Below are 14,646 nucleotides of genomic sequence, written 5' to 3'. Positions count from 1 at the left end.
AAAAGGAAACTGACTTCTTAGCCCACATGCAACACATATTTGACTGCAATTGACTAGAATGGTAAAATGGTTCAGATCTTCCTCACCATGCTGACTAGTGAAAATTCCATGAGTCGTGCTCCTAAAATTTCCTTGCATGAGAAAACCCTAACGACATTTAATTTATCTACATTTAGTTATTGTCTGATTGTAATAAAGGCTTGCTGGTATTTGAAAATGTTAACACTTCAGTTCCTTTAACAGAAAAATATTAGAGAATGACATCTAGTGCAGATCTCACTTTAGACATGATGAAACAAAAGCCTAGTTTAGATGACTAGTTTATGCGTAAGTTAAATGCCTAATGGGAATGCCTGAATTAAAAGTCTAGTTTAAAAGACGCTATACAGAACTGATTCACAGCAGCTGATAAAAGAACCTTGGTTCAATAATATCACCAAATCATTGCTATCTCCTCTCCAGCTACAAACCATAAGGGGAGTGGGGGGAGTCGGGGGAGCGTGAGAAAGGGTCACAAGATAGGCATAGCCAACTCCACTGTCCCTGAGGGCTGACTCATGAAGCCAACTCTCTCCTTTGTGCAGGAAAGTGTCGTTCAAACATTTAGGAGGGGGCTGATGCCTGCAAACATCATTTCACATCACCAACAGATACCTGGCTCATCTCCTCAATCCTCTGCCCCTTCATACCATGGAAAAGAAGAAGAAGCCATCTCAGAGACAGAAACCAAGACATTGAGATGAAATGATTAAAAAAGAGCTTAGTGCAAGAATACGAAAAGCCTACAGTTAACCAACAAGGCAGGGTGTTTCTGTTCATCTAAGCTGAGGCAAGATATCAACATCTAGATATCTACCATTTTTCCACTCCATTTTTTTTCTTTTTTCCATTGAGTGTCTTGCAAGGGTTGAGCAACAGATATACATTAGCAAGTGAAACAGAAGTGACGTTAAAGTGCGTATGGTCTATGAAGGAAGTGGACTATAAAGAGCTCAAACGACATATAGAGTTACAAGTTCAGATAAAGGCCACAGCAAATATAAGTAGGTTCTAGTGCCATAAAACCATGCGGTGCAGAAGCAAAGTTCCTCCATAATCTTTCAGAGAAGGGCATGAGGGCCAGCATCTCCAGGAGGAGACGTTATCAATCAGTCCAAATGCAAATATGGAATTTTTTTTTAATTGTGCAGTAAAAGACCAGCTTGTAGAAATGCCCTAAAGTGAGGCTGAGTTTGGTGGCTTAAAGAACATCAAATAAAAGGAGAATGCATGTAAGATAGTGGGTGAAGGTAGAGAGTGAGGAACCAGATGGGAGAGATGCAGAATCCAATCCTTATGGAACTGTAGGCCCTGGTGAAGAGTTTGCATTTTATTCTGAATGCAATGAAGAATGACTGAATGGTCTCGGGCAAGGAAAAGGCATAATGAGACATGTTTTCCAAAGATTATTCTGGCTACTTGTAAGGAAAAGGTGGGAAATATGGCCACCACATATAACCAACCAAAACCAAACATCCTTTATTCTATCTTTATGTTTCTACACTCACATTATATAATCAATAGAAACAAAACACGTGGCTAATACCCTGTCTTTCTTATTTAGACAGAGTCAATGTCTAACCTGCTGCCAAGTCATGCAGGTAATCACCAAAGAACTCTATTATAGCGGCCCTAAGGGGTGTTAGTTCTAGTGGGGCAGAGACTCTGGAAGTAATCTCAATGAAAAAACAAAACAAAACAAAACAAAAAAACTCTGAGATGCTCTGTTCTTACCGTTTTCTTTCCTCATCTGGGTTTCCTTTCTTGGGCTTCTTTTGATTCTCTCCCAGGCAACTATATGGAAACACATAAGAAAAAAGAGAGATTGTTACTGCCCTCCACATTTTTTCACCTTCTTCTCTAACTTTCTAGACCATTAAAACCAAACCTGACTTTTCTTTTTGACAAACTTCCCTTTCCTTCAAAATCAATAAGCAGTCACAGATAGAATGCATTTCAGAAATTAACCACAGAGACCAGGACTCTGATGGGACAGAATGCCCATAGTCTGACTTTTGATTCTGTCAGTCTTAGGATTTCTTGTGACCCAACATGCAAACTTCCTGCATCTCTAGAAGAGGTGAGAGCTCCCAGGAAGCTATAAAGACCTTAACAACAGGGAAGCATCACTTTTGCAACAACCTGAGGCAAGATGATCTGCTTGTACACACCTTTGTGGACTATGAGGACTGCCAGTCTTGGCCCACTGAACCAGAGCAAGCGTCTCTGGGCCCTGCTGCATGTGGGCATCCATGTGCAGATAAGACATTGGGATCTTTACATACATTCAGGAAAGCTGACTTTTTCATATTACTCTTGGTGTTTTGCCATCAATTATCATCATCTTTATGATAATCAGGCAAACACTAAATGACGAAGTTAGAGAAATCAGGTGATTTGCGTGGTTAACACAATAGTTAGCAGCTTATGTTTGTGACTTGGTTAATCAAACTTTCTACTCCACCAGTTGTCCACACATAGCATTTCCTTGATGGTTTTCTTTTCCTCTATTGTCACTTCTGCAGCACTGGTCTATCCTTCTGCTTCTAGGTAGCTTTGCATATAAGAGCCTCACTTCTGCTTACCAGCAGTATTCGGGGAAAGCATTTCGAACCAACGCTGAGAAAGTGCCTTCCCTGAATAGAGGTCATATGTATATGTTCAAGAAACATTGCTAGATATCAACACACAAAGCCACTAAGCAAAGAATATATTTGTTAAATATAAAGGAATATCAATTTACAGAGGTGGGGGCTTTTTATAGAATCAGTTGCTGATGTAGAGATTTTGTATAATAGTCACGATCACAGTCAAATCTGGATGTAATGTTTATTTAATAGTGTAGATTGTAAATCAGGTAAAAAGTAATTTAACTGTCTCCTTTTTTCCCCTTTTCCTGGAGTCTAGTTTTCTCACGATTCCATCTTCCTAAACTGGTCAATAAAGAAAGAATTTGGTAAAATAATTGTCCTTGGGGTTATTAGTGATTCATTGACTTACACATCTAAAGGATGTTTGTATTTTAAAGTTGAAAACAAGACAGGAAAAGTATTTAACATCAGTAGGGACCTAATTGGAATTCCACACCATTAATATTACTGAATATAACTGGATACTAAATTCTACTGTGAATAAAGTAAAAAGTGTTTTTCTTAATCCAGAGGAATTCAGATAATATCAGGCCATAGGTGATGTACAAAAATTTGTTGACCAAATTAATAAATCAACTAATACTCTATTGTTTTCAAAAATAGGTATTTTATTAAGCTTTAGATGTATCTTGGCCAAAGAATTAAGATTATGAATAATTTTTTATACCTTCTGTGTTTTTTCTTCTTATTTTTAAACTTTCTAAATGTTGGATGTTGACTTATGACTTCATAACTCTACAAAGAAAGTCTTAGTAAACATCCCCCAAAATCAACAATTTGCACATGATTTCTCCAACTATCAAGCAGTAAAATTAAAACCCAATAAGCTATAACCAAAAGTGTACCTGTCTAGGCACAAGTAATATTCTAAATAATCCTTATGTTAAAGAGGGAATCATAAAGGAACTTTCTAAAAACACAGAATAAAATAATAATGCAAGCTACACAAGACTATTTGAAGGATAAAGTGAAGTGTGAAGAAAATAGCTTGCTAAAATACATTCATAAGAAAACATAAATGACTAATAATGACAAAGTAAGCATTTATCTTAAGAAGTTGGGAGAAGAAAAAGGAAACAAGAAAGTTGTGGGTAAAAATAAATATGATAGGGAACCAAATCTTAGAAAAGAATAATATCAGTAAGATAGCAAAAGTCTGGAAAGACCAACTAAAGAAATAAGGAATGGAGACAAAAATATAATGAAAACAGAAAGTTCAAAATAAGTATTACAGACATAAAACAGGCATGATGAAGAATTATGTATAATAAACATTATGGCTTAAAATGAATAATATCTTGGAAAAAATGAAATATAAAAACTGACACATGAATAACATCAATAACAAAAAAATCCAGCTTACACAGCTGCGTACACAATTTACCAAACTTCAAGTGACAAATATACTCTCTCATATATAAGATGTTCCAGAAAGTAGAGAAATGTAAAATGATGCCAACCCATTTAATGAGATTGGTAAACTTTCATTTCAAATTAAATAAATCAAATTTTTAAAAATCACAGGTCCAACTCGATCATGAAAATAGATGCAATAATCCTCAATAAAATATAAGTTAACTAAATCTAAAACTATAGTAAAATTGCACACATCACAATCAAATGGGTTTTATCCCAGAAATTAAAAGATAGGTAATTAGCAAAAATATTTATTAACATAATTAACTACTTTAGAAGCCTAAGAGAAGAATCATGAGGTTATCTCAATAGTTTAAAACTGCATTTGATAATGTTTGGTCCTTATTAACAATAAAAACCCTCAGAAGAGCTGGGTGCAGTGGTGCAGGCCTGTAATCCCAGCTCCTTGGGAGGCTGAGGCAGGAAGATCACTTGAGGCCAGGAGTTCAAAGCTGTAGTGCACTCTGATTGCATCTGTGAATAGCCACTGCACTCCAGACCGGGCAACATAGTGAAATCTCATCTCTACATATTTTTTTAAAAAGTAGAATCTCCTTATTTTGATAGAGGCAATATGCCAAAAACATAAATGCCAAATATAAATGTCAAAAATATACAGCAACCTTGATGAAAACAATTTAGAAAAAAATTATTATGATCAGTTACAAGAAAATGATGCCTAAGAATTCTGACATAACTATGCTATAAAACATGATAAAGGTACCTATAAGACTTGTAAGGAACAAAAAAAGAATAGAAAAATCTTTAACTTTATAGATGATATATTAACTATGTAAACCCAGTAGGATTAAAAAACCATGAAAAAAAATGAGAAATTCAACAAGGCTAGTGGATACAAAGTCATCTTGCAAAATTCAATAGCATTCCAACAATAACAGGCTAGGAAAAAATGTCATTCATAGATTTATTACTGTTGCATATGGTATCTAGAAATCTATCTAACAAAGAATAAAATAAAAACAAAAAATTAAAGCTCTATCAGAATGCATTAAAGAAGATTTGAATAAAGATAATTATAAATAATTGTTTTGATTGGTGTATTAATAGTATATCTGCATAGACCAGGCGCAGTGGCTCACGCCTGTAATCCCAGCACTTTAGGAGGCCGAGGCAGGTAGATCACAAGGTCAGGAGTTCAAGACCAGCCTGGCCAATATGGTGAAACCCCGTCTCCACTAAAAATACAAAACTTAGACGGGCATGGTGGTGCGTGCCTGTAGTCCCAGCTACTCGGTAGGCTGAGGCAGAAGAATCGCTTGAACCTGGAAGGTGGAGGTTGCAGTGAGCCGAGATCATGCCACTGCCCTCCAGCCTGGGTGACAGAGCAAGACTCCATCTCAAAATATATATACATATAGTACATCTGCATAAACATAGAAGAATTTGCAAATAGATCTCTATATTCACAATGTTGTCTGAATCCAAATTCAAGCTGGCACTTTTTATATAATACACAAATTCAGAATTTGTGTACAAATTTATATGGGAGGATAAAGTCTTCAAAGAACTAAATCAATTTTGAAATAAAGACTAAAGAGGGTATGTGATGGACACTGCCCATGGGCGATGTCTACATTTACTTCACCCTCTTGCTAGTCAGGGGCTAGAAAGCAGCAGCTACCTTCCCCAGACTCATCTGCAGCCAATTATCAGGCTGCAAATTAGGCACTGCCCAAGGTAACAGGCCTCTGACAAGCAGGGTCAGAGCAACAGGAGGCTCTCTGCATCCGTGTTCTAGAGGCCATTCTCCAGCCTTCTCTCACACCACATCTGTGATCCCAATGACTGACACACACCAAGGTGACTCCTTGGGAATGCATTTACTTTCACTGAATTTCCTCTTCATTTTGGTTGTTCCTGATGAATTTCAGCTCTTTACCATCTCTTTGTTGGGGCTCAGAAAATGATACTCCAAAATAAAAGCCTCAGAAGCAGCTCTCTTTCTCCTGCCCTCCTCTCTGTGACAACTCTTTCCTACCCAGGGCTAGCCATAGAAATTAGAATCCCTCTTCCCCAAGGTGATTGATAGAAACCAGAACCTCTTTTCCCCAAAGCCAGCCATAAAATTAGTAAGATGACTCTAACTTTCCCTGTATCTTTCTGTGTAAGAACCAGCCATAAAGACATTATCTGACCTACTTTGTCTGACTGTAGGTCATAAGCCCCCATTCCAGAGAGTGTTCTGCCCCATACTCATAAGTAAGGAATGCTGTACAGAGAGGTCGAGAAGAATCTAAACAGACAGAACAAGACTTGCTGGGATTTTCCACTCTGTCTATTAGCATTAGGTCATATCCTTTTTGTCCAATCATATTTCCACATGGCTATCCAAAATTTGTTGAACCTAAGCATAGAAATGGACAGTTTCCTTTGCATCTTTGGGTCTTCATTCTGAGGTTCCTGTGTCACATAAAACGATGATCAATAAATTTGCCTTTTGTCCTATTAATCTGCCTTTTCTCAGCTGATTTCAGAGAACCTTCAGGGAGCAAAGGGGAAGTTTTCCTTTTGCCCCTGCATCTTCTTTGGTATATTTTAAGAGCTTATTGTCTATTTCTCTCTGTGTCATTCCTCCATACTCACTGAGCATAGACATTTCTTCCTAAAATACATGCCACATTGCATTTTTCTCCAGCTTATAAATGTTCACTGCTTACCACTTTCTACGTGCCTTTGAAGGCCCTTCATTATCAGACCCCCAGCTTCATTCTCAACTTCTTCTGCTACTGGAGTCATCTCTGAACAATATGCTCCAATTATTGACAGTAATACCATACACTTGAAACTCATACATTTTCACAGGTTGTCCCTTCAGCTTGGACCATCTTTTCCTGCTTTGTAAGTCTGCCTAACATTTACAGCACAATCCAAATGGCAATTCCTCAAGCATGTCCTTCCTTCCTGCTATCCCAAACCAGAATTCCCTTCCTTCCTTCCTTTTATTTCTACAGTGCGCTGTTTGTGCTTCTGCCTAGAACACATTAGCACCTGCCTTATCTTAAAAAGAAGCCATTGTGGTGTAATGGAAATGACGGATGACTTGACATCATAAATTACATGTAAGATTCATAATTTTATAGCAAAGGCAACCTTGACAAGTTTTAATTCTCTCTCAATTTTAATTATCTGAGCCACGTAATGTCTATTTTTTTAAAGCTGAGTCAGAGTGATTAAGTACGATGTTCTCTGAAGGGGCCTATCCATTTTTAAAATTTGCTTCCATATCCATTTTCCTTCCATGTTTAATTTTTTCTTGCGACCAAGACCATTGTCTTACCTAGGCTTTCCATAAATATTGCTTAACTTTAAAAGAAGGGAAACATTTTTTCTTTAGGGTAAATAATTGAATTTACCTCTCAGCACAATTGTGTCATTTGTCCTCCATCTACTGCCCAGACTCATGCTCATCCTGAACTTTGATGGCCCTTCTCCATCCATGAACCCTTAAGCATTTTTTTTTGTTTGTTTGTTTATTTGAGACAGAGTCTTGCTCTGTCGCCCAGGCTGGAGTGCAGTGGCGGGATCTCGGCTCACTGCAAGCTCCGCCTCCCGGGTTCACGCCATTCTCCTGCCCCAGCCTGCCGAGTAGCTGGGATTACAGGTGCCCACCACCACGCCCGGCTAATTGTTTGTATTTTTAGTAGAGACGGAGTTTCACCGTGTTAGCCAGAATGGTCTCGATCTCCTGACCTCGTGATCCACCCGCCTCGGCCTCCCAAAGTGCTGGGATTACAGACATGAGCCACCGTGCCCAGCCACCCTTAAGCTCTTTAACAAATAGCAATTTACTGAAAGACTAAATGAAGACATCAAGGGACAGCTGAACTATTTAACCTGGTGAAAGGAGACGGTATGAACCATCAGGTGTGGGGAAGCCAATCTGCTGCCTCATAAAGACAGCTTCTCTGACCTACTTTGTTTGACTGTAGGTCATAAGCCCCCATTCCAGAGAGTCCTCTGCCCCATACCCGTAAGTAAGGAACGCTGCACAGAGAGGTCAAGAAGAATCTAAACAGACAGAACAAGACTTGCTGGGATTTTCCACTCCGTCTATTAGCGTTAGGTCATACCCTTTTTGTCCAGTCATATTTCTACATGGTACCCACTGGAGCACAGGAGCGATATGATGAGAGTTTTGCCTTGGGTCTATCAATGTAGTCACGTCATATGCAAGATTGTCTGGAAGGGGACTGGGAGAGCGGACAGAGGAGTGGGATGCTGTAGAGCCCATCATTTAAGATTAAGCAAGATGTAAGAACAATAATGCCTGTTATCTGTACACATTCTATAAATTATGAAGTATTGGAAGAGTGTAAGGCTAAACATTACCAAAAAAGGTGTGACTAAAGTCAAAGGCATTCAAATGCATATCCCGCATCCATAATTTGCAAGGACCTAACTGTTCATTCTCATACCAACCCACGAAGCTGATGGATGGAAAGTTAAGCTCTACACCCACATGAAGAAAAAGAGAAGCAGGAAAATTCAAGTGACAATTGTGTAGGGTTGCCAGATGAAATACAAGATGCACTGCTAAATTTGAATTTCAGATAAACAATGAATAACTTTTTAGTAAAGTACAACCCATGTTATAATGCCCAAAATATTATATGAGGCACATTCATACTAAAAAAAAAAATGTTTTTCTGGAATTTGAATGTGACTTAGCATCCAGTATTTTTGTTTTCTACATCTGGCAACCTATCATTGTTCCAGAGTAAGGCAAGAGAAGGAGCCAACTGGGCGTCACTGTGTGCTCCTAGAGGATGCTGTCTTCAGGCTTAACCTTCTAGAAGCACAATGTACCTCACCATTACAAATGCGTTATGTCCAGCCTCCTTATCTCTGTTCTCTTTCTCCCAAGAAAGGCGGCACCAAGAGTCAAGACTCACCTGAGTTTTCGCAGGAGATAATTTCCCATCTTTTCACAGTGACTCGGTTTCTCAGCTCCTGAGTTTCACTCCACTTGGGGAAGTTCTGACCAAAGCACCAAGAGGAAAATGCATGAGGCAGGACGTTGCATCTGACCACGGGTTCGTGCTCTTGCCAACCACGAGCTGCCAGGGGCCTGCGCATGATAGAGAAGGCAGGAAGAGCTCGAAAGGGGAGGCAGAAAGGAAAATGTGAGTGTGCGTGTGTGTGCCTGCACGCACACACACACACTCATACACACACGCGTGGGCATACAGTGGGAAAAAATCAGGCTGAAACATGAAAGTGAATCTATCACTCCAGGTTCACTTTGCTTTCAAGGAAATTCTAGTATTGCAAGACGAAACAAGGTAAGGACTTCCCTATTCCTCCGAAGTGAGCATAATAATAAGATTACACAATGCAATAAGAGAGTTGCATTTTTGCTGGAATAAAAGTGATTAATCTGGATTCATGATTTCTTAGGCAAACTGCTCATTACAGAGATCTGAGATCTCAAGATTCCAAATATGTTGTCCTCTTCCAAACATACAAAGAGAAAGCCTCTTCTTGGGGAAAAGAAAAAAACAACGTTAGAAATAAAATTTCTCTTTGTGGCTCTAGCAACGATAATCAGATCAAATGTCAATAGCCTTTCCTCAGAGGTCTGATACTTTCAAAGACAAGATGGGAAAGAAAAAGGAAAAAAAAGGATGAGAATAGAAGGTTATCAAAATTATTTGGGGTAGGTTAAGAAGCCATTGTTCTGGTTGTCAGCTCAAAGACTAACATGACAATGGGGAAAATGCAGGGCCTGGAAGACCTGTTGCCAGCATCTGGTCCCCCACTTCCTCCCCTAGGCTGCCCACCAGAGCCACAAAGCACAAGCTGGTTCTAGTGATAATTTCGAGGCCACAATATCAGCGGCAGGAGATCAGCTAACAGCTGACTCTGAGCCGTGGCTGTCAGGAGACTGAAATCGCTTATTCATGATGTCTCCTGCCGAAGGATTTATACCACAGGTGGTTGATTTTCTTCAGCTTCCAACCAACACAAAATCTATTTGCTGAAATCAGAAACTATATGCTCACCTATTCCAACTCTTTTTTTCTCCCAATGAGGAAATCAGGACTGAGGAAGTTTAATTGACTGTTAACCAGCAGCAGAACTCAGGAGTCTGGAGTGCTTTATCATTATTTATAAGTTTTGTATTGTTTATTTATCGATTATAAACATGAGAAAAATATATTACAAGCAGGAATGTCACACACCCCATTTCAGATTTATGATTTATCTAATTCGTATGTGACAACCTATGTACCAAAGTGCTGCTTCCCAAACTTTCTCATGTAAGCAAATCACCCGAGGATCCTGTTAAAATGCAGATTCTGACTCTTTCAAACTGGGATCAATATTTTGCCTTTCTAACAAGTTCCCAGGTGATGCCACTCCAGCCAATCCATGGAGCGGTAAAGGCACTAAGAAGCGTGTTCCGCCATTGCTGTCCTTGACCAGAAACACCGGCATCTCTGAGAACTTATTAGAAATGCAAACTCTCAAGATCCACCTAAAACCTGCTGAATCAGAAACTCTCAGGGGTGGATTCCTCCTGTTCCCTACTAAAATTTGAGAGCTACTGAAATAAATCTTTGTTTCTCTTATCTGATTACTCACAAATAAGCTCATTAATCCTCAAATGCTCAAGTAAGTAGCTCCATGTTAGTTTTTAGTCACCGAATGACAGAAATGTGGTAACACGAAAGGTTTCCATCTTTTCAGCACCTCTAACTCCCATTCTGTCCCATCCTAGCATAAATTGGTCTGGTAAACAAATCTCCTGGAACTCACGTTCTCCATCTGCAGAATGGATAGGAGCTACGTGAAAGGGAGTCTCAGTAAGCCGTAGGTATCCTGCCATTATTATGGCCATGGCTGCTGTTTGAGAACAAAGACATGCACAATATTCAACTTGATTTAAGTTCTCAATGCCATGTAGAAAATTAAGTACAAATAAGAAAAAATAAAATATTTAAATAACCCAGAATCCTACTACCCTCAACTACCTTCTTGTGCTTTTTTGTTTGTTTGTTTTTGTCTTTGAGACAGGGTCTTGTTCTGTTGCCCAGGCTGGAGTACAATGGCATGATCAGGGCTCAGCTGCAGCCTGTACCTCCCAGACTCAAGCGATCCTCCCTCCTCATCCCCCAAGTAGCTGGGAACACAGGTGTGTGCCATCACACTAGGCTAATCTTTTTTTTTTTTTTTTTTAATTTTAGTAGAGAAAAGGTCTTGTTACGTTGCCCAGGCTGGTCTCAAACTCCTGAGTTGAAGCGATCCTCCTGCCTTGGCCTCCCAAAGTGCTGGGATTACAGGCTTGAGCCACCACATCCAGCCCCCTTGTGAATTCTGGTGCACACATTTATCATCCTTGCTTTGTGAAAACAAACATGCACCCATTGATTTAAAAGTTTCCAAAAATAGGATCATCCTTTGCACATAAGTGTTATCATGCCATAAAATACAGTTTTAAAGACCATTTTCAGCCGGGCGCGGTGGCTCACACCTGTCATCCCAGCACTTTGGCAGGCCGAGGCGGGTGGATCATGAGGTCAGGAAATTGAGACCATCCTGGCTAACACAGTGAAACCCTGTCTCCACTAAAAAAAATACAAAAAATGAGCCAGGCGTGGTGGCGGGCACCTGTAGTCCCAGCTACTCGGGAGGCTGAGGCAGGAGAATGGCGTGAACCCGGAAGGCGGAGTTTGCAGTGAGCCGAGATCGCGCCACTGCACTCCAGCCTGGGTGACAGAGCGAGACTCGTCTCAAAAAAATAAAAATAAATAAAAAATAAAGACCATTTTCTCAGCCAGGTGTGGTAGCATGTGCCTGTAGTCCCATCCACTTGGGAGGCTGAAGCAGGAGGATTGCTTGAGCCCAGGAGTTCGAAGCTGTAGTGTGCAATGATCATGCCCGTGAATAGCTACTGCACATCAGCCTGAGCAACAGAGCGAAACCGTCCCATCATTAGACAAAACAAAACAAAACGAACAAACAAAAATTTATTTCTTTCTTTCCTAGCTTTGTTGATATATTGATATAAAAGAACGTGAATATAATTAATGTACATAATTTGATGAGTTTGGACATATGCGTACATTTATGCTACCATCACCACAGTCAAGGTAATAAAGATATCTATCATCTCCGACAGTTTCCTTGTAGCTCTTCGTGATTTTTTCTTTTTTCTTTTTGTAGTAAGAACAATTAACATGAGATCTACACTCTTGACGAATTGTTAAGTACACAATACCTTATGTTTAACTAGAGATACTATGCTGTAACAATGAGAATGAAAAGGCAACCTATGGAGTGGGAGAAAATATTTGCAAACCGTATATTTAATAAGGGGTTAATTACCAAAAAATTTAAGGAACTCACACAGCTCAATAGCAAAAATAACTAAATAAACAAACATAACCCAATTTTGAAAATGGGCAAAGGTACTGAATAGACACCTCTCCAAAGAAGACATACAAATGGCCAAGAGGTCTTTGAAAAGATACTCAACATCACTAATTATTAGGGAAATATGAATCAAAACCACGATGAGGGCTCTCATACCTGTTAGGATGACTATGATTAAATACATTTTCTTAACATCATTACTAATGGGTGCAAAGTACCCCTTTGCATAATCATCATAATGATAGTTTTCAACCAGTTCTTTTTTTGTTGTTATGTCCAGTTTTTCTGTTGCAATAATGCTACAGTTAATATTCTTACAAATAAATCCTGACAGTATTATTGACAGTGCTTATAATTGTTAATACTAGCTGGCAAATTTGCCTATATAAAAAATTGTACATATTTGTAATATTAAATCTACAACAGGAGTTGCCCACCAGAGGAGTAGGAGATCTTGTCTCAGTCAGTCCTGCAAGGCATGGGGCCAGACCAAGCACGTGCACTGAAACAGGGCATACCTGTTGACAGCGAGTCCCTGCTCATTTGCAGATAATATTGGAACCAAAACCAATTCCTTACCTAAGTACAGGGTAGAGAAACAAACTCTCAAATCTGACTCAATTATTTCATTTTTAAGGAATGACCAATAAGATGAGAATTAACCAATGAAAAAGCTAGCATTTCACCAAATGGGATATTTGGCTTCAAATGTTTTCAATGTCATTGCTTGACTACATTTAAATCTTGTTGTATTTGTTGTATGATAGAAAAAAATTACCTCAAATTTGGTAAAAGGCAAAATGAAGATTGCTTGGTTATTTGTTGTTATTATTTCATACTAAAAAAAGTTCTTTTTTGTTTTTGTTTTGTTTTGTTTTTGTTTTAAGACAGGTCCTGCTCTGTTGCCCAGGCTGGAGTGCAGCGTGTGATCTTTGCTCACTGCAGCTTCAACCTCCCAGGCTCAAGTGATTCTCCTGCCTTGGGCTCCCGAGTAGCTGGGACTACAGGGCATGCCACCATGCCCAGATAATTATTGTTTTTGTTTTTTTTGGTAGAGACAGCGTTTTGCCCTGTTGTCCATGTTTCCATGTTTGCCATGTTGTCTTGAACTCCTGGGCTCAAGCGATCCACCCACCTCTCAAAGTGCTGGGATTATACGTGTGAGCCACCCTGCCCAGACAAGAATTTTCTCATTAGCCTAATTGATCCTCATGTGGAACTTGTGGGGAATGTACCTTTGTGGTCACAATATATTTGCAAATCTAAATGGAAGGTTTCTCTTTATGACACCACTTGCCTGAATATATCACAGCTGAGAGTTGTGTTTCCCTACGTGCAGCTGCCGGGCAGAAGCTGTTATATGAACAGAAACTTCGAAGGATATAAAACCCAAAGCTAATAGTGTTGAAAAACTTGGAGAGGTCTTATTTACCAACTCTTTTAGAATCAGGACCTAACTAAAAATGTTTTCCTGACTGATGAATGATACAATTCGGTTTAACAAGCTGTCTACAGATCTGTGGCCTAATTCTGTCCTTCCAAGCATGCAAAATTTCGACCTTTCATCAGCACAGCCATCATGAGCTCTCTCTCTACAACCTCACATGAAGTTTTCATTCAGCAGCCTGCTTGGTGTGTTTCTTTTAGTGACATGTGGTCCTATCCTTTATCAGTGATCAACTCAGCTTGTTTTTCAATGCTCTGGTGCCCATTGTTTTAATTGTTTGACATAAGAATTAGCAACTTATAAAGGTTCTCTTGTTCACATAAAATTAGAAGTTAAACCAGGGTGACGCACACTTGTAGTCAGTCCCAGCTACTCCAGAGACTGATATTAGAGGATCCCTTGAGCCCAGGAGTTTGAAGCTGCAGTGAGCTATGATCATGCCACTGCACTCCAGCCTGGGTGACAGAGTGAGACTCTGTCTCTAAAAAAATTTTTTTAATAAGATTAGAGGTTAACCTGCAGAAATTGATAAGTTACTACCAATAACTTATGGCTGGTAGAGAAGCAAGTAGTTTTGATTTATTTTAAGTAGAAAGTTAAATAAATTCATATATAATTTAGTAATCTTAGTTTGGGTATTTGTTTCTGGAGTAACTCCATATAAGTCCCTATTATTCAAATGCTTTTAGAACCAGC

The 14,646-nt window shown here is 39.2% G+C and overlaps 1 protein-coding gene across 10 annotated transcripts in view; it reads right to left on the bottom strand.

Moving 5' to 3' along the window:
* The window catches only part of GCSAML (germinal center associated signaling and motility like), a 70,633-nt gene that overhangs the window by 19,451 nt on the left and 36,536 nt on the right, over window positions 1-14,646 (bottom strand). For 3 of the 10 annotated variants that reach the window (XM_047447035.1, XM_047447036.1, XM_047447037.1), the window contains 2 exons: window positions 9,020-9,223; window positions 1,774-1,833 (listed from right to left, as the gene is read on the bottom strand). The exons of 1 other annotated variant lie outside the window; for it this stretch is intronic. In XM_047447035.1, the coding sequence (XP_047302991.1) occupies window positions 1,774-1,833; window positions 9,020-9,048 (89 nt within the window). In that variant the 5' untranslated portion in view covers window positions 9,049-9,223. Of the gene's footprint in view, window positions 1-1,773; window positions 1,834-9,019; window positions 9,224-14,646 lie in introns of those variants that run through there. 6 more of the 10 variants (NM_001281834.2, NM_001281835.2, NM_001281836.2 and 3 more) reach the window with 4 other exon arrangements.

This window comes from Homo sapiens, chromosome 1, assembly GCF_000001405.40.
Source record: "Homo sapiens chromosome 1, GRCh38.p14 Primary Assembly".
Classification (NCBI taxonomy): Eukaryota; Metazoa; Chordata; class Mammalia; order Primates; family Hominidae; genus Homo; species Homo sapiens.
Note: the sequence above shows the minus strand (reverse complement) of the source record. Positions and strands in the feature narration are given on the sequence as shown.